This window comes from Homo sapiens, chromosome 7, assembly GCF_000001405.40.
Source record: "Homo sapiens chromosome 7, GRCh38.p14 Primary Assembly".
Classification (NCBI taxonomy): Eukaryota; Metazoa; Chordata; class Mammalia; order Primates; family Hominidae; genus Homo; species Homo sapiens.
In genome coordinates this window covers 17,006,245-17,026,527 of record NC_000007.14, presented here as the reverse complement: position 1 = coordinate 17,026,527, position 20,283 = coordinate 17,006,245, and the positions used below count along the sequence as shown (strand labels likewise).

General features: G+C 36.6%; 2 long non-coding RNA genes across 4 annotated transcripts in view, besides 3 other annotated features; one reads left to right on the top strand and one right to left on the bottom strand.

Moving 5' to 3' along the window:
• LOC124901595 (uncharacterized) overlaps positions 1-20,283 on the top strand; it is a 60,261-nt gene that overhangs the window by 24,000 nt on the left and 15,978 nt on the right. The window contains exon 3 of the long non-coding RNA XR_007060239.1: positions 13,370-13,504. This is a non-coding gene — a long non-coding RNA (uncharacterized LOC124901595). The remainder of the gene's footprint in view (positions 1-13,369; positions 13,505-20,283) is intronic.
• LOC105375170 (uncharacterized) overlaps positions 4,966-20,283 on the bottom strand; it is a 31,345-nt gene continuing 16,027 nt past the window's right edge. The window contains exons 2-3 of one of the 3 annotated variants that reach the window (XR_927067.3): positions 6,071-6,260; positions 4,966-5,178 (exon numbers count right to left, since the gene is read on the bottom strand). This is a non-coding gene — a long non-coding RNA (uncharacterized LOC105375170). Of the gene's footprint in view, positions 6,261-20,283 lie in introns of all 3 variants that reach the window. The other 2 variants (XR_007060237.1, XR_007060238.1) reach the window with 2 other exon arrangements.
• Positions 9,789-10,083: a silencer, noted in NCBI's record as "tiled region #6796; HepG2 Repressive DNase unmatched - State 5:Enh". NCBI's record gives its function as "represses a minimal TATA promoter and a strong SV40 promoter by Sharpr-MPRA in HepG2 cells {active_cell/tissue: HepG2}" and the evidence as "EXISTENCE:reporter gene assay evidence [ECO:0000049][PMID:27701403]".
• Positions 9,789-10,103: a biological region, named in NCBI's record as "Sharpr-MPRA regulatory regions 10536 and 6796".
• Positions 9,809-10,103: a silencer, noted in NCBI's record as "tiled region #10536; HepG2 Repressive DNase matched - State 5:Enh, and K562 Repressive non-DNase unmatched - State 24:Quies". NCBI's record gives its function as "represses a minimal TATA promoter and a strong SV40 promoter by Sharpr-MPRA in HepG2 and K562 cells {active_cell/tissue: HepG2 | K562}" and the evidence as "EXISTENCE:reporter gene assay evidence [ECO:0000049][PMID:27701403]".

Here is a 20,283-nt window from a genome sequence, read left to right as displayed (position 1 = left end):
AGGAAGGCTTTAGTTAGCAAGTTCACTTAAGCACTAGACCAAACAGAGACAAGCCGCGGGCTGCCGCCCACTGATCTCAGAGGTTTCCCAAGACACTGAAGGCTTTAGGTACCTGTCCTCCCAAATGAGGCTCTACCTTAAGTAATTATTAGCATACTTCCACATAAAAATACTGTCCATGGGTGTCTGAGTATTTATGACAAGGATATAGCTTTGGTCAAATACAGGTCAGTTGTTGGTTATGTGTTAAGATGTTTTAGCCAAACTTATTGTGAATTAATATTTTTTAGAGATTAATCTCCCCCATTATCCATTTCTTATCTTTTCATCTAATATAAATAATCAATAAGAGCTCAAGTAAAACATTTATTTTTTACTTAATTTCCTACTATCTACACATAGGAGAAGCAGGGAAAATGGGATTTTCCTCTTTCCCCTGCTTCTTCTACAAGAAAAGGAATAAAGGAAGGGCAAAAGATAAAGTAGGGGAAAGGGAATTTTTTCACTTGCCTTCTTATAGTTTTTACCCTCTAATGTTCTACAAAAATAATTTGCTCATTCCAATAGACAAGAGAATGAAAAATGTTCTTGCTATTGAGATAAGAAAATATGGTCATAAAATTAATCTTGAAAACATACAGCTACAGTTATATTGATTAGCACAATCCAAGAACCAGAAATCCATTTGGCCTGGCCCCAAAAGTCAATGTCTGGAAAAACAATAATAATTTAAATTCTAATCTATGTTTTCTGGTGCAGTAAAGCATTTCTTAAGACTGTTTATGCCAATTACATTCAGATGCATCAACATTATGATATTATTAAAAGTGAGAGGAAGAAGACAAGTCAAATCTCATTATCACAAATAAGGTTTTGTGTTTCCACGCTAGAGCAGTTAGCTTGTTCATTACACATAACCATGATTTCAATGATAGGGTAAATTCCAGGACAGAGATGGAGAATCTTAATGGAAGCAGTGATGACCCATTGGAATATTGTGTGTATTGAATCTGGACTATGGAAATTGAGAAGTATCAAGATTCACAATTAAAATATAGCAGAATATTTTGAATAACTAATAAATCATATGAAATATATACTAGTAGAAAATTCAAAATTCAAGCAGAGTTATACTCTGTTTATGCACTGTAGTAAAAAGCAATAATAGAATAATGTTAGATAAAACCTATATCCCTGCAACAGTGAAAAGTTTCAATGGACATGATTTTGTACGGAGTTACAGATATATTTTCATGCAGTGCTTTTTTGAGCAGTGCTGAAACAACAACATTCAATGTCTCCAAAACTCTACCACCTTGACCTGATTCTGTAACGCTCATTCAGTCTTGAGTGAATTTGTGCTGCCTAGATTTCCAGATAGAGTACATGAGTCTTGGCTTTAAACTCCATCTTTATGTAAGGCATATGTTAAAAGTCTCATATTATTGAACTGTATTATATTAGGATAATTTTCAACTACACTAGAACTGTGCACGTGATTCAAACAATTGGAGCATAAAATTATAGTTAGGTATGCTGTGCAAAATAGACTATACATATAAACAAAGAGGGGAAAGAAAATTTAGGAAGTGATGGTACCTGAGTTGGATCTTGAAGGTTAGTTAGAATGTAAAAATGTCTTGCAAAGACAAATTTGGCCCCTTTGTTTAACTTCATTAATATAGATAACCAATCTAATATAAATAATGAATCAACATGATACAGAGAAAAAAATCTATTGGGGTTTAACCAAGTGTAAATTATCCACAGATCACCTGTGATTTCATAATAGCATGACATGTGTATGTATTTTTATTGTCCCCAGTAATCTTTATGCAATTAAGGGTATTCTTTTGCTAAATTCGCTTATAGAAGCATTTAATCCTCAAAGAGCCTATGTTTTCAATGTAACATTTATGTAAACACATTCCCTAAACATCTTTGACAATCTTACCTCTTTTATGAATTTGAGAAATCTTAAGTCTTCTTGCTAATTCATCAGAACCACACACATAGACTGTATTTCTGCTGTTTATAGAGTTTTACTCAATTGAATTGCATGATTACCTTAAAAACACGATAAACACAGCCATATGACTATTACTACATTTATACTTCTTAGAGGAAAGTTGTAGACTGTGCACCTTATATGTACACTATAGTTATCCAATATATTATGCCTTTTTTTCTTTATAATAAAGATGCAAATAAAACATTTTTCTTGGGGTTCAGCCTAAAGGAAAGCTCTACTTCTGAGCAAAAGGTTTTCTTTCAGTATTATAATCACCATGAACCTACAGATGTTTTCCTTTTTGCTACTTAGAAATGAATTGAAGAAAGCCTAAATAGATAATAGATTAGTATGTCAATAAATGGCAGATGATCAAAACATTTTACCCCATCATATTATATTAGAGTGAGTTCAAATTCCATCCAGCTAAACTCTGCTAAGGGGACCCACTCCAAACCACTAATTGCAGAAATGACCTCACTGAATATGGGAAAATCTCTTTTTCTTCCCCTGGTCCTTCAAGATATCCAGAATCTGCCTTGCTAGTAGCCACATTTATAAATTGTCTAGTTAATTAATCTGACATAAACTCCTCACGAATCATCTATCATTGTAGGATGCTGTGGGACCATTAATACTTTTTTATCAAACAATGTCAGAGAATACATATAATTCATTTTTAAAACTACAGCAGCTAATCATTCTTGGGTCACTTATAAGTTGTTATTATTATTATTATGTTAGCAACAAGATCTTGCTACGTTGTCCAGCCTGGAGTGCAGTGGCTATTCACATGCATGATCATAACGTACTGCAGCCTTGAACTCCTGGCCTCAAGTGGTCCTCCCACTTCAGCCTTCCTAGTAGTATATTAATTTTGAGATACCTTTTCTATATAGGCTTTATACTTCTTGGCTTAAGTTTGTGAATCATTTTAATAAGGTAGTTATCTAAGAAGCCTACTAGAAATGCTTTTTGGGCTGAGGATTCAGTGAGACCCATGGGAAAACGATGTTTGGAGATGGAACTCACAGCTGGCTCCCACAGCCTTAATCCTCAAGTAGGACTCTCAGAGTGACAAACCCAGACCAAGGAGCTTGGCTAGGAGAAATGAAAAGACTTGATTTTTTATGTGAAAGATAGCTACCTATGTAAGCTGTCTTCCAACTCAGCCTCTCAAAGACCTGTGACAATTTTTTCAAGAGTGGAGAGATATACTAAAAATGAATCAAGAAATGCACTCTATAACTAAAGGTACAGTAGAAAAACAAGAAAATGAGGTCACCCTGGTTTCTGACTCACTAATAAGATCAATGCATGTGATAAAAGGATATTTACCACAAATCTCTTTATGATCATGGTTTGAGCAGAGTCAAGACAGTGATACAGAAAAGGTGACCTGAATGCAGTCAGCAGAGAGGGATGGCAATGAAAAATGACTAAGAGCAAAGTGTGAGTATATGCTGGGAACTGGAACCACGGTCCCCTTAGCACAAAAGACGACGGAGTCTAAAGTCAGAGAAAGTGAGTTTACATTCATGTTATGACCCTATTCATCATTCATCAGTTGCACCCAAGGACTACTGGGTAACAATCTGTCAAAAAATAGGATTTTATAAGTTAAAAGTATAAGATGCACATAGGTGTTAGAGTTCAAGACACAGATGACAAAGAAGTTCAAAAGAGCAGAGGAAACCAACATAGGAAAAAAAGAATACGGAGTGTTCAGGGCACTTGAGACATCTGCAGTTACTGAATTACAGGATGAATATATTGAAAAGATGGGATTGGAAAGAGAGGTTAGAGTCAGGTTAGGGTTTGAGAACCCTGAAGAATGGGCTAAGGCATTTAGATTTGTTACTAGAAGAATTTGGAATCCATTAAATATTCAAGAACAGGAGAGTACATCTACCATACTTGTGTCTAAAAAGTAAGAACACTGATAGTTTGGTGGATGGAGTCAAGGCTGATGGTAGGCAGGAGATACTGTCTCCTCCAAAGAATGTCATTGGGGATGATGGTGAAAAAGCAGATTTGAAATATATGTGAGTTGATAGAAGCAAAAAGATATAGTGACAGATTAAAGTTAGAGGGCATCAGGAGATGCCAAAAAGAGGTCACTCCTTCAACACCTAAGATGATTTTTTGAGAGCCTTCCATGTGCCAGGGACTGTGCTTATTGCCAAGGATAAAATGGCCAACCAAAATAAAGATGGCTTCTGTGGTTTTGGAAAACAGTGGCAGAAGTTAGAAATATATTTATTTATGTAATAATCATTCAAGTGTTTGTATTGTCAGGGCAGGCAGGTAGATGGGGCTGGAGACTGAAAGCCTGGATTCATGAATGTCCATTTGATACTTTTATTCATGGCTTAGTGAATTTTTCCAGGGAAAGTATGTAGAAACGAAAAAGAAGAGAGTTTGGAATGGAACCCCATGGAAGAAGCAATAATTAAACAATACGTGAAGTAAAAAGAGGGAGTAATAAGACTGGGTAAAAGTTGTCAGAAAGACTAAAAGAGGGACACAAGCATGATGTCATGGGAGCCAATGGCAGCAATTTCTACAGAGAAAATGTTAATTGGGTTGAATTCATAGACTGATCAAGCACCACGTACTGTAAAAAGCCCATGCTTAGTCAAGTCACAGGTCAAAGGTAACTTTCACAAAAGAAGATTCAGTTCAGGATAGAGTCCGGAAAGCTACTGAGGAATGAAAAGAAAGAAAGTTCCAGAAACACTGTAAAACAAAGCAAAAAAAAAAAATCCAGTTTTATTTCTATATTTCTTAGTAACCCTTAATTTTTCCCCCTTAAAAATAGAGACTTTACCACCTTCTCTAAAAACTGAAGTTGCATAGCCAAATTCAGTGGATAGTTAGATGCTTGATATGGGAGAGTTTACAATTTTTAAAACTAGTCTGAGATAATTTGAGCAGAAACAAATCTGATATAATTTGAGAGAAAAATATTTTTATTTTTGTGCTTTCCTTGTAGAATCAGATTTGGTTTGCAAAAAGGTAAAGGTTACATGTGTGTGGGTAGGATATCATCTTAAACACACAGCAGATTCCAAGAAAGCATTCAGTGGTGTGGGTGGTTAGGCAAATAGTTTTCCCTCAGTTCCGGTACTTTCCGCTGGACTTTCGCCTTCTGAGTTTGAACTTGCCTATTGGGAAAGCAAAGAATGTTGTAGAAACATGTGTCTGCAAGTGTATGCTTATTTCAAAACAGTACAAAAGAATTAAGTATGTAGGTTGCAGTGACTTTGTATAAAAAGTAGATGACCCTCACAAAGTGACAGGTTAACACAAATTTAAATAAATTAAAACTTCTTAACAGCTTTATTGAAGCATAACTGATATTATGAAGAAGTACACATATTTAAAGTATACAATTTGATAAGTTTAAACATATGCAAACATTCTTGTTACAATTACCACTATTAACGTAGTAGACAGATCCAGCAATTTCCATAGTTTCTTTTTTGTTTTTGTTTGTTTGTTTGTTTGTTTTGAGACAGAGTCTCACTGTCACCCAGGCTGGAGTGCAGTGGCGTGATCTCAGCTCACTGCAGCCTCCAACTCCTAGTTGAAGCTATTCTCCTGCCTCAGCCTCCTGAGTACCTGGGACTACAGGTGCATGCCACCGTGCCCGGCTAATTTTTTTGTATTTTTAATAGAGACAGATTTGGCCAGGTTGGTCCCGAACTCCTGACCTAAGGTAATCTATCCGCTTCATCCTCCCAAAGTGCTGGGCTTACAGGTGTGAGCCACTGCACCCAGCCCCCATAGTTTCTTTGTGTCTCGTTTTTGTGTTTTTTGTTTATTTTTGTCGTAAGAACACTTAAATTGAGACCTACTCTCTTAACAAATGTTGAAATACACCATACTGTATTGTTTACTATAGGTACAACGTTGTACAGCAGATCTCTAGAACATATTCATCTAGCATACCTGATGAATAACATTGCAGCCCCTGGCAAGCCCTATTGCACTCACTACTTCTATGATGTTGACTATAAAGATCTCTCATACAAGTGGAATCATGCAGTACTTGACCTTTGGTACTGGCTTATTTTGCTTAGCATAATGTCCTCCAGGTTCATCCACATTGTCCATAAATGGCAGGATTTCCTTCCTTTGTAAAGCTGAATAATATCACACTGTACATGTATAGCACATTTTCTTTATCCACTCATCTGTTGATTAACACTTGAGTTGTTCCCACATCTTGCTATTGTGAATAATGCTGTAACAAATAAGGGAATGCAGTGAGCTCTTCAAGATCCTAATTTCAATTATTTTGGATGTATACCCAGAATAAGAAATAAAACTCTACTTCTTCAGCTGGTGAAGAACTTTTATAAAAAGACATTTTTAGACCTGTGTTAAAGCTATATATTACGCTTAATTAACATCTTAGTATAAGTTTATGCAAAATGACCAATTTCCTCCCTATTATCGCCAGGTAGGCAGGCACACACACACACACACACACACACACACACACACACACACACAAACTAAAAGGCAGTACAGAACTCAGATGAACTCCAAGCTAATAATAAAGGATACAGCATGCACTTGATCTCCATATTAACTTTTAAATTAATAACTTCTGGAAAATTTCACTCACATTCCAAAGGAATTCATTATTTAATGCAGAACACAGATGAGCTTGAGAGTGAAAATATATGGCACATAATGAGATATGTATGTCAAATTCAACAAGAAGACTGATTTTATTTTGAGCAGCACACTTTGCTGCATATTGACCCTTAGATTTTATTTCATTCTCTTTCATCTATTAGCAAATCTCACTAAATACTACTTTTATATTATCTTAGCCTAATTTTCAAAACAGTAATCATGATAATAAAACAGCAACAATTTCTCCCATCTTATATGTTGCAGAAAACATGTAGTAGGTGTTTTACGTATTTTTATCCTATTTTATAGACAAACTGATACTTGGCGAGTTAATGTGATTTGTCCAAGGTCCCACAGTTAGTAATTATAAAAGCAGGGATTGAAAACTCAAGTATTAATCTGAAACCCCAACTCTTTCCTTCACCACACTGTAATCCATTATTATGCCAACAGCTGAATGGAAACATCATGAAATGAGAGAAAAAAAAACAACAAACTAATGTGTAGAAAAAAAATCTGTTAAAATATGGGAAGCCAAAGCTTCTTACGTGGTTCAAGCATTTGTTGTTGCAGCTGAAAATGATTAAATTCAGAAATCCAAATCAAGTGTTCACAAAAGGATTTTTATTCTGGAATCTGTTTCCACATTACAACCATTTTTATAACTTTCTTAAGTAGTATATTTGACTTGACCACCCCCGGTTGAAATTCTTTCTCTTAATTCTTTTTTTTTTTTTTTTTTTTTTTTTATTATACTTTAAGTTTTAGGGTACATGTGCACATTGTGCAGGTTAGTTACATATGTATACATGTGCCGTGCTGGTGCGCTGCACCCACTAACTCGTCATCTAGCATTAGGTATATCTCCCAATGCTATCCCTCCCCCCTCCCCCCACCCCACCACAGTCCCCAGAGTGTGATATTCCTCTTCCTGTGTCCATGTGATCTCATTCTTCAATTCCCACCTATGAGTGAGAATATGCGGTGTTTGGTTTTTTGATCTTGCGATAGTTTACTGAGGATGATGATTTCCAATTTCATCCATGTCCCTACAAAGGACACGAACTCATCATTTTTTATGGCTGCATAGTATTCCATGGTGTATATGTGCCACATTTTCTTAATCCAGTCTATCACTGTTGGACATTTGGGTTGGTTCCAAGTCTTTGCTATTGTGAATAATGCCGCAATAAACATACGTGTGCATGTGTCTTTATAGCAGCATGATTTATAGTCATTTGGGTATATACCCAGTAATGGGATGGCTGGGTCAAATGGTATTTCTAGTTCTAGATCCCTGAGGAATCACCATACTGACTTCCACAATGGTTGAACTAGTTTACAGTTCCACCAACAGTGTAAAAGTGTTCCTATTTCTCCACATCCTCTCCAGCACCTGTTGTTTCCTGACTTTTTAATGATTGCCATTCTAACTGGTGTGAGATGGTATCTCATAGTGGTTTTGATTTGCATTTCTCTGATGGCCAGTGATGATGAGCATTTTTTCATGTGTTTTTTGGCTGCATAAATGTCTTCTTTTGAGAAGTGTCTGTTCATGTCCTTTGCCCACTTTTTGATGGGGTTGTTTGTTTTTTTTCTTGTAAATTTGTTTGAGTTCATTGTAGATTCTGGATATTAGCCCTTTGTCAGATGAGTAGGTTGCGAAAATTTTCTCCCATTTTGTAGGTTGCCTGTTCACTCTGATGGTAGTTTCTTTTGCTGTGCAGAAGCTCTTTAGTTTAATTAGATCCCATTTGTCAATTTTGTCTTTTGTTGCCATTGCTTTTGGTGTTTTGGACATGAAGTCCTTGCCCATGCCTATGTCCTGAATAGTGTTGGAAGTTCCGGCCAGGGCAATTAGGCAGGAGAAGGAAATAAAGGGTATTCAATTAGGAAAAGAGGAAGTCAACTTGTCCCTGTTTGCAGACGACATGATTGTATATCTAGAAAACCCCATTGTCTCAGCCCAAAATCTCCTTAAGCTGATAAGCAACTTCTGCAAAGTCTCAGGATACAAAATCAATGTACAAAAATCACAAGCATTCTTATACACCAACAACAGACAAACAGAGAGCCAAATCATGAGTGAACTCCCATTCACAATTGCTTCAAAGAGAATAAAATACCTAGGAATCCACCTTACAAGGGATGTGAAGGACCTCTTCAAGGAGAACTACAAACCACTGCTCAAGGAAATAAAAGAGGATACAAACAAATGGAAGAACATTCCATGCTCATGGGTAGGAAGAATCAATATCGTGAAAATGGCCATACTGCCCAAGGTAATTTACAGATTCAATGCCATCCCCATCAAGCTACCAATGACTTTCTTCACACAATTGGAAAAAACTACTTTAAAGTTCATATGGAACCAAAAAAGAGCCCGCATTGCCAAGTCAATCCTAGGCCAAAAGAACAAAGCTGGAGAAATCACACTACCTGACTTCAAACTATACTACAAGGCTACAGTAACCAAAACAGCATGCTACTGGTACCAAAACAGAGATATAGATCAATGGAACAGAACAGAGCCCTCAGAAATAACGCCGCATACCTACAACTATCTGATCTTTGACAAACCTGAGAAAAACAAGCAATGGGGAAAGGATTCCCTATTTAATAAATGGTGCTGGGAAAACTGGCTAGCCATATGTAGGAAGCTGAAACTGGATCCCTTCCTTACACCTTATACAAAAATCAATTCAAGATGGATTAAAGATTTAAACGTTAGACCTAAAACCATAAAAACCCTAGAAATCTCTTAGTTCTTAAAGTTGGAACAGCATGTTTTCACTATGATCTTCCTTGAAAACCTCCCTACCTTCTTATCTGACTTCTATTGGCGCTCCTAAGACATTCCCCAGGGACCCCACCCCTACATACACTCACTTTATTTTATCTGCCAGCCTAAGCCACTGAAGTTGGAGTAGAAAATCAATGGCTCACTCTGCACAGCCTCGCTGTGCCTTATGGGGCGGGGGGAACAACAAGTGCTTTGCTAAATTAGGCAGTATTCAGAGGCATTCCCAGTGTATTACCAATCTTATTATCCAAACATGCACCCTATGATGTGACATGAACTACTAAACAAGAAAAGGAAAGGAGAAAGAAACCTCTTCAAAAAAGCATTAGAGATATCTGAAATTCTCTCTGTTTGTAGTCTGTGGGTACACTGCTACAACACAGAGGCTGTTCTGTTTTGAGAAAAGCCTAGCTAACCTTGAGACAAAAATGACAACTGGAAATATCATCTGCAGCTACATCAGAACAAACACTCAAGGTGCACAATGTGAAATAACTGCTGGCAACATACCCCCACACAGAGATAGTAATCACTGCCAGGAATGTTATCTTTGAAGGGCAGAAGTCTAAGTGATTGGCAAGCCAGAAAACATAGCATAGACCCTTAGAAATACTGATCAAAGCAAACTGAAGTTCCCTAAAGGAATCAGGATATGAAGTAATATACATGTTTTTAAAATAAGGATACACTCAGATTATGAATGTGTGTGTGTATATATATACATATATTTTAAAATCATATATATTTTTTAAATCATATATTTTTAAATCACATATATTTTTAAATCTATCTATATATTTTTACATCATATATATTTTTAAATCTATATATATTTTTAAATCATATATATTTTTTAAATCTATATATATATTTTTTAATCATATATATTTTTAAATCTATATATATTTTTAAATCATATATATATTTTTAAATCATATATATTCATGTTTATATATACATATATATATATGTATATATATGAAACTCCTGGATATCACCCACAGGCATCCTAGTCCAGACCACACCTTTTGAGCTCCAAAAGAATTTGGAGAAATAAGCCTGGCATGGCTGACCCTCTTGTTCATGGTTTCAAGATTGGGAACATTGAAATTCCTCACATTTCTTCCAAATAAGATATTTAGAATGAAAACCCTTTAATCCAACTAGAAAGAGATATCTGGAATGTCTGAGCTCTCCTCCCAGATTGAGAGTTGTTTTTCAATTAGTAACATGGACTGAGGAATTTTCTGGCATCTGCCACTAAGTGAGTAAACTCAAAAATGATAAAATAAACTTAAAAAGAAAACAAAAAAAACCCCAGCTCATTTTAATTAACTTCCGGTGAGACTTAAAAGACAGCCCAAGCCACAAAAAGTCCGTTTCCAAAAACGCTGCTCTTTTTTATTTTTGCCAGACAGCATGACTCCACTGCCACTTATTAGTACTGATTCTTAAACGCATTGTTTTCTTTTTTTTAAGTAACAGATTCACAAACAGAGAGGATACAATTCTCAGAAGAACTGGGACAATAATGTAATCTCTAAGTTGTTTTAAATTGATTCATCAAAACTAAAATATGAACATATCTCAATATTAACTATCTCAAAAATCTAGGCCAAGACCACACTAAATTTGGACCATTTCCCTTAATAGTGCAATAAAGTACAATGGGTTTTTCAACAAAGAATACTTCTAGCTCTGTGTGTGTGTGTGTGTGTGTGTGTGTGTATCTATATATATAACTACTGCCTCAATTTCCCTCATCCACCACTAGATCCTTACATTTACTGCAATATCCTAACTACAACACTGAAAAGAAAACCTTGTATCTATGAATGACATAAATGTATTGGTATTTTGAGAAAAGCTGCCATCATATTGTCATCGGATTCGATTAATTTTTCTGTTTAATTTTAACTTGTTAAAATTTATTTAATTGTATTCATTTCTTTTATTATCAGTATGTTCTTTGCCCTTTGTTTAACCCTATCAAACTTTTTGACAAGCGGAAAGTTTATAAAAGATGAAACTTTATGTTAGAAACACTTACACTAAGATCTTGCCCAGATTAGAAATCTTATTCACGTGAAAAATCTTTCCTTCATACATAAATGGAACCCAATAAAGTGAGAGCTATTCACAATATCTTAATTCAGTTCTCGTATTTTGCAGAGTTGGCAAAAATCATATTTGTAGACGTTTTACCCCAAGAAAATTGATTGATTGATCTGACGATTTACTCAGTTTCCCAAATTCATCTTGAACTATAATCTTAGCCAAATCTATATCCAATCGCTCTAAACGATGATGTAGTATTGTTTGCCAATTAGCTGTCCGAAGAATTAGCAACTTTTATTTACCATACTATATAGGGTTTACTTGATATAGCTATCTATGTGTGAAAGGTTGATAACTTTTTAAAAGAAGGTGTTGAAAAACATGGTAACGAATAACCTGTATTCATTTCAAAGAATAATAGCTACAAATTCAACATGTGATATGTGAATTCTAATGCTGTAATTCCTCACACTTGAATTCTCTTATGATTCTCTCACTATTCAACTACCACTTGAGAATCATTCTGGAGGCCGTTTGAAAAAACACTGGATTTTTCCTACTCACTTTCTTAGAAACTGTGGTGAGAAAACAAGATAGTATTCTTTCTATAGGGTATCTGCTCAAGTGTCAAAAAAGTTTGACATTTTCCTATGTGTTTTTGAGAGCAAATTTTCCTTTCTTAAAAGACAACTGAATCCCAACACTTTGGGAGGCCAAGGCTGGCAGATCACTTGAGTCCAGGAGTTTGAGACCAGCCTGGGCAACATGGAGAAACCCCATGTCTGCAAAAAATACAAAAATTAGCCCGGCATGGTGGCACACATCTGTGATCCCAGATACTCAGGACGCTGAGGCAGAAGGATCACTTGAGCCCGTGGGGCAGAGGTTGCAGTGAGCTAAGATCATGCCACTGCACTCCAGCCTAGGCAACAGAGTGAGACACTGTCTCAAAAAAAAAAAAAAAAAAAAAGATAGCTGTAAGAAACCAGTTGAAATAACTGTGAATAATTGCCTGTCCCTTAAACTCTTTCCATCTCTTTCAGTCATTGAACCTGAATGGGTTTAAGGCAACTAGACTACTTTGTCCCCACTCTAGTCAGGTCTTGTGGGCAGCCTCAGAATTGATTGTGCTCCTTCAAGAATTTTCACGCCAAAGGTGTTGCATACATGGACGATGCTTCCCCAGGATGCACACCCCTCCTTGTGAGATAGCTGAGTATAGAAGAATCAACTGACCCAAGATAGAGAAACTATCTCCTCCTCCCTGCCAGGCATACAGAAATAAAGGACACCCATTTTGCTGATGTAAAGGACATGAGTGGAGTGAGGCAAAGGGAAGAAATCAGGACCAGTAGCCCAAATTGCAAATAAATCCTCTTAATTAGGCCCTTATTAGTGGAAAACTAGAAAAGTGTAATCTGTTACCAAAAGGAAGAACTTGTTCTAACATAACAAGAACACCAGCATAAACATATTGTTCTGCTCTCAGCAATGCCTATCAGTCCCCACCTCAGATGAGCTGCAGAAAATCCTTCCTCCCTGCTCTCCCATCCTCTGCCACCCTCCTCTATAATCTAACCTCTTTCAGCCACTGGCTCAAGTTCATAGTGAATCATCCACCCACTTTCCCCTTAACACTTGATGTCCTTTACTCCTCAAGTAGGAGAAAAGCATCGAAGGGAACAACCTTTGCTGATCTGGCCTCGGAAAGACACAGCAACAATGCCAACAATTGATGTCTTGATAAGTCTGACCACCTTATCACTAGCATAATTCCAGTGAATTATGACGCACAGTCACTTCATAGCTTCTCCATTTTACCAGACCCTTTTTTTTTTAATTATTAGGAGACAAGGTCTCAGGAAAGGAGTGGGTAAAACACTTATCTCCAGAAAGCCAGCAAGAGGGAAGAAGGAAGAAAACCCCATCCTGCATGGTATGATGCTGAGATTCCTCACATATCTTCAAAGCATCCTAAGAAAGTAAGTTTGAGTATCTGTGGGCACTTGGGCTTCAAAGAACAAACAAGAGAGGCAGAATCAAGGGAGTTCACAACTCTCTTTCATTCTTACATTATAACATTTATACATTCATAGACAGCAAATGAAGAGTCTCACACACATCATGTTTAGGATATAGGTCAGAAAGCTGAGACACAAAGATGTCAACCACTTGCGTATTTCTGACTCTTAGTTCTGATTCTCAGGACTTAATTTTTGTCTTTTGTTAATGCCCCATCCCAGAGTAAGGTCAACTGTTTCTTCAGGGCCAAGGGACTGTGGGTGTCCAGAGAATGCTCAATTGGAATATTTTTTTCAGCTCTTTTATTACACAAATGAAATACTCTTCAACAATTGTTGGGGGGTGGTTTTTTTGTTGTTCTGAAACAACTCCAGTAGGCTTTTTAGCTCTACAAAGTCCCTCCACACAAGTGGTGATGCTTGACATTTCAGCTCCAAGAAGGTAAAATTGCTTGGTGATGAAGTTATTAATGGTGATGTTGAAGTCAGAGCTGCACCTCTGCAGACCAGGTTATATTTGAGGAAAATATGCTTAGCTAAAAAAAGAAGAAGAACAGTGATCAGATACGTCAAGGTGTCTGCCCAACCTCTTGGCCTGGGTCTCATGACGGAGTTGGTGAGATTCAGAAGGCAATGAAACCATTTTCATCGAGTGCATAAGCACAAGTAGATCTGTCCCTGAGCCTGAAGGGCAAGGAAATCATGGGTTTTTACAAATTTAGTTAGTATCTGGCCACTTTAACAAATTTCTACTAATGCTAATAACTCTTCAGTTGATTTTTTAGTGCACAATCATATTATCTTCATTTAAAGATAATGTTACTTTATTCTTTTGAAAAGTTGTACCTCCTATTTCCTGCCTTATTGCTTCAGCTGTAAGTCAAGTCTCTGCATATACTTAGTTTGAATGATGAAAAGGGTGTTGAGATTTTTAAGTTGTTTTGAGAAATATGGATTTGAGTACAAAATGCTGAAGATAGAGAAACTGAAGAACTATTGTAGTAGTTTAGGTGTGGGCCAGGTGAAGTGGCTCACACCTGTAATTCTAGCACTTTGGGAGGAAGAGGGAGGCACATCATGAGGTCAGGAGTTCAAGACCAGCCTGGCCAACACAGTGAAACCCCGTCTCTACTAAAAATTAAAAAAAATTAGCCAGGCGTGGTGGCGGGCACCTGTAGTCCCAGCTACTCAGGAGGCTGAGCCAGGAGAATTGCTTGAACCCGGGACGTGGAGGTTGCAGGGAGTCGAGATCATGCCACTGCAGTCCAGCTTGGGTGACAGAGTGAGACTCTGTCTCAAAAAACAAAAAAAAAGTTGAAGTGATGTGACAATGCATGAAATAGGATGATTGCTAAAAATATACAGAGAAGAAGAAATAGCTATAGAATATTTTAGATTTAAGAAGAAGATCAGCTGGAAAAGATGGGTAGGCAACAAAAAATAACTCCAGATTTTTAACATGCACTATGGTTGACTAATGGAAAATAACCAGGATTGCTATTATTTTTATAGACACTAAAATGTATGACAACATAGAAATCTAAACAGGGAATTTAAAATGTTAAATTAATCTTACTTCTTAGTTTATAAACAGTGTGAAGTATGCAGATCAAGAGAAACATTTAAATATTCTACCCCATCTCCATGATCTCATACAATCTTGCTAATACCATAATATCTCATATTAATGAGATTTGTATAAAGCTTTCACACTATATGAAGTAATTACACATATGTTATATATAAAAATGGTTCCTGAGAGATTGACACTAACACCTCCTAAAAATAGTTACACTTTAAAAAATATTTTCTATGATCTCAGTTGAAAATTGCAATCCATTCTTTATTCTCTGTGCAAACTCCATTCTACCAAACCTGATTTACCAGTGGCTTTTGTATGCAAACATCTTGTTCTCCCCTGTTCTATATATCCTTCCCCTTTCCATTCTTGTACACAAAGTGAAATCCTAATTAACCTTCAAAGCAATCTTTTGCCATTCCCTTGAAGCAGGGGACTAAAGGGCAGAGGAGAAGAAATTGGGGGTACAGACAGCAAGTTTCTATAGAGGAGAAATGTCAGTCACCTTGCCCTTCCTGGGCATGTGGGTAGAGCAGAGGGTCAGGGAGTACACCAGCAGCTCCATTCCACAGCCCTTAAGGCAATCACAGGAAGTCACTATGTCAGTAAGCAAAGCACAGGAAACCGTATCACTGATGATACTAATGCATCTGCCTTGTTTCCATCCCCAAAAACAAAATAAAAATTGTTCCTTCTTCCCTCTCCCTTACTCTCCCCGACCCACAAATCTTTCCCATCAAGCCAAATTCATTTTCCTTATTTAAAGGAGGAAAAAACAGTGGCTTTTATTGCTTGTAAAAGCAAACCACAATGAAAGGTGCAATTCATTTTTCTCCATTCTCAATTTTACTGATGATTCTTTTGGCCAAGAAGAAATTTTAAAGAAAGCAGAAGAAAATTCTATGAAAAAAGTTCAACATAAAATGAGATAAATCACAAGCAATTAAATTCGTAAAATTATATCACTAAAGTTTTAATATCACTTCTATGATGAAGAATGAAGTTATCCAAAAATTTAGCAATTGCTCTTTGTAGGATAGTTTGTTCACTTTAATAAAGTGTATTTAATAGATACAATTTAAGTTCCTTTATGTTTCATCTATTAAAACACTGCTGAGTCTTTAGTGTAAACAAGACTGGTGTGACAAGTATATTTTTCCAAGTTGTATCCCCTCCCTTTCTATTCTTACATTCCATTTCCTTTTTCTAACTAACCTGCTGTTTTCAAATAGTTTTAAATGTTTTCACAACAGTTTGAGTCATTTAAGGTGTTTAAAGCCCAGATACGACATTCTTAGGGAGTACACAAACAAAGAAGGTAAAAGCATCATGTAAGTATGATGGGGAGAGGTGAACAACTAGCTTGTTAAACTGTAGTTTTTGCCTATTGTGAAGTGAGCACAGCATTTCTGACTTTATGGCAGAGGTTTATGGGCCATAAGCAGGAGCTTCTTTGGAATCAGACATTCATGATACTAAAAAAAAGCAGAAGCTCCTGAAAGTTAAGATGGAATTGTTATCACAGAGAGGTAGTCCCTATGATCTTGTTCACTATTAACAATTGCTGCTGACTATCCTACTGTTTTCAAATGGCCAAGGTGTCATTAAGAGAGTGAGGCAGGGAAAAGGAAGAGGATGTAGACCATGTTGATTAGAGTAAAACAGTTTTATGCACCATTTTTAGCAACCAAAGAGGTACCATGTGAAAAATCAATGTCTGTTGCTAGTGATCTTATCCCAGACTCTGATCTAATTTTGGCAATGTTAGAACAAAGCACATGCTGTCTGTATTGTTATTTGCTTACCCCATTCACTATGACAATACCAAAATACAGATTATGAAATAATTTTCCTTGGCATAGATTTTGAGAAGTATTTTTTCCCTTTTTTTAGTTTCGAGACATTGAGCTTGGGTAACTTCTCAGAAACTGTGCTCCCAGGAGTAGCAGCTTATCTGACTGACACGGGGTCCTAATATCCATTCTCACTCATCCTACCCTGTGGGTACTTCTCGACATAGTAAATCACTCATGGTAGGTGACAAAAAAATCCCAGTCATTTACATCTGTTCAACAAACATTACTGATAGTGTTATGATATTTTTAATATAAAAGTAGTGATGCTGTATTCAGCCAACAGTGAACTTATTACATCTAATGTACTGAAATCCCTTAGCTCCCCCTATAGGAAGGGTTGGATTAAAGTAGCAAGTAAGAGACGACAAATTCACATGCAAGCCCAATTTCATGGCAGAAAATAAAAGTTAAGGAGTCTGTTCTTCTTGTCCAACCATGTAAAACCCAAAATGCCAACTAAGAAGATTGGTCTTATCTTTACAGCTGCCTGATCCACTGAGTAAAAGAAAAGCACACCTTTGCTATTTTGCAGAAGAGGCAATTAAAAAAAAAAATCTCATCTGTTATCACCATTCTGTCTATTCCCCTATTCCCTCTACAGCTCAATATTAGCACTAGCAAAGGGTCTCATTGATGAAGTTAATACCCAGCTTGGGTTTCAGTCTCATTTAAGCCATTGCACTAAATCATTCATTCATTCAATGAACATTATTATGCAACTAATATATTTAAGAAACTCATAATTTCTCCTCTCAATGTTGGCTTTGAAATAGAGAGGTAGACTGGTATACACGTGTTCCAAACTCAGTGAGATAAGAGCTATAATCAAAGTGTGTCTAAGATATGGAATACTGTGGCACACATAGAAAATTGCATAGTCAATTCTCTGTGGTTGAGAAAAATGATAGTTTTAAGTTTCAGTAATATATCTGCTGATTTCTTCATCAAGTCAAACTGATCTGAAGAGCTTTTATATCAATATTTCCTTTGCATTCACACTGCCACCACACTAATTCAGACCATTATTACCAAACACCAAAACTATATAGTCTCTTAAGTGTATTCCATGTTATCTTTCTTTTTCTCAGTACTCAGCAGAACTGTGAGTTTATCTTCTTGTATTATTTTTTAATGTCTCGTTGAATAAAATCACGAATGCCCCATCCACATCATACATAATTTGAATATAGAAATGAGGCTAAATACTTGGACTTCAGAGCTGTTACCATTAATCTAGTTCCCTCTTTTATTATTAAGGGTTCCATCATAATAACCCAATTGTTATAAATCCAATTAAAAAGTTACAATGCAATATTTGCTTAATTCAAAATCAAGAGGTATTACAGCACTCCAAAACACCTCCATGCCCATAGTTTACACCTTTTCCATTACAATTTTTCCCTCCTTGCTAGGGATAACCAGCAATGCTGAGTCTGCTATTAGTCATAATCTTGCCTTTTGTGGCAGACACTTTTGGGCTGTGCGTCACAATTCCTCAGTCCGCCTCTAATTGCAATCACAGCTCTGTTGGACAGTTACCTGTAAGCTCAGTTAATGCTGACAATGCTGCACCTGAAGTGCTTGGCTTGCAATCTCAGCTTTTCTGTTCCAAGAAATTTCCAAGACCACCACATATAGGAAGGGGAGTTATCACCCCAGAGTACAACCCCCTCACAATGGTAAATAGGAGCTGATGGATAAATTCCCCAACCTCCTATTCATCAGACCTAATTCTGGAAGGCATCTGTCCAGCCCTCAGAGATCCTGGTGTAATACAACCTGTTGTCTTTATCAGTGGCCTGGAAAATACACACTTATATTGGTCTGCCTTTTTTTTTCTCAGTCTCCCTGCTTCCTAAGATCTCTTCTTACATAAACAATTTGCCATAAGCCTTTGACTCTTGTTCTGCTTTCAGGAAACCCTAAATGAAAACTTTTAAATAATTTTACCACTTATGAATGCAGTCACAACTGACACATTTACACCATTTTGAACTTCATAAAAATGGAACCACATCATATGAGTTCCATTCTATCTTGTGTCTTTAAATCAATATTATATTTGTGAAATTTGTCAATGTTGTGAGTGTATTTGTGTAGATCAGGTGTGTCCAATCTTTTGGCTTCCTTGGGCCACGTTGGAAGAAGATGAATTTTCTTGGGCCACATGTAAAATACACTAACACTGGCCGGGTGCGATGGCTCACCCCTGTAATCCCAGCACTTTGGGAGGCTGAGGCGGGCAGATCACGAGGTCAAGAGATTTCACCATCCTGGCCAACATGGTGAAACCCCGTCTCTACAAAAAATACAAAAATTAGCTGGGTGTGGTGGCGTGTGCCTGTAGTCCCAGCTACTCGGGAGGCTGAGGCAAGAGAATCACTTGAACTCGGGAGGCGGAGTTTGCAATGATCTGAGATTGTGCCACTGTACTCCAGCCTGGTGACAGAGTGACACTCCATATATAAAAACAAACAAACAAACAAACAAACAAAGAAAACTACCTAACACTAATGATAGCTGATAAGCTAAAAACATCATAACAAAATCTCATGTTTTAAGAAAATTTACGAATTTGTGTTGGGCTGCATTCAAAGCCATCCTGAGCCACATGTGGCCCACAGGCCATAGGTTGGACAAGGTCGGTTTCGATTATTCATTTTTTGTCTGTACAGTGGGGGCATTGGAAAATTTTTCTCTCAGGAATCCAACTATCCCCCCAAAAAACCTTAATGATTATAATATCAGGTGTTTCCTCAACAAAAATAACCAAATTATACCCTCCTACTGAGAAGCCTACATTCAACAAGACTCATGAAATTGCCTACAGCTTGCAATCAGCTCCTTAATGATACACTTGTTAACATAAACAGCCAAACCAAAGATTACTAAACTTTAGGCAAAACTCTAACATGAAAGCAACCCAAAATGGAGGTCATTATGACAACGCAGAGGGTAAAAATTTTACAAAATTCGTTATTATTCAGAAAAATGAAGGAAGATATATCTACAAACAAGAATAAAATTTTATTTTAAAATAACAATAGAAGCAAAAATCCAAATTATCTCTTAAAATTTAAAATATGATGGTAAAAATAGAAAACTTTAAAGAAAACATTAGAAAGTGGAAGGAGAGAGGAAGGAAGTGAGAGAATAGAGAGAGAGAAAGACAGAGAGGTACAGAGAGAGAGAGAGAGAAGAAAAGGAGGCCAAAGAAGAGAAAAATAAACCTAAAGAACTTATTTATGATGTCTAACAGGTGAATAATAAGGATTCAGTGAGGAGGGTATACAAATAAGCAGACA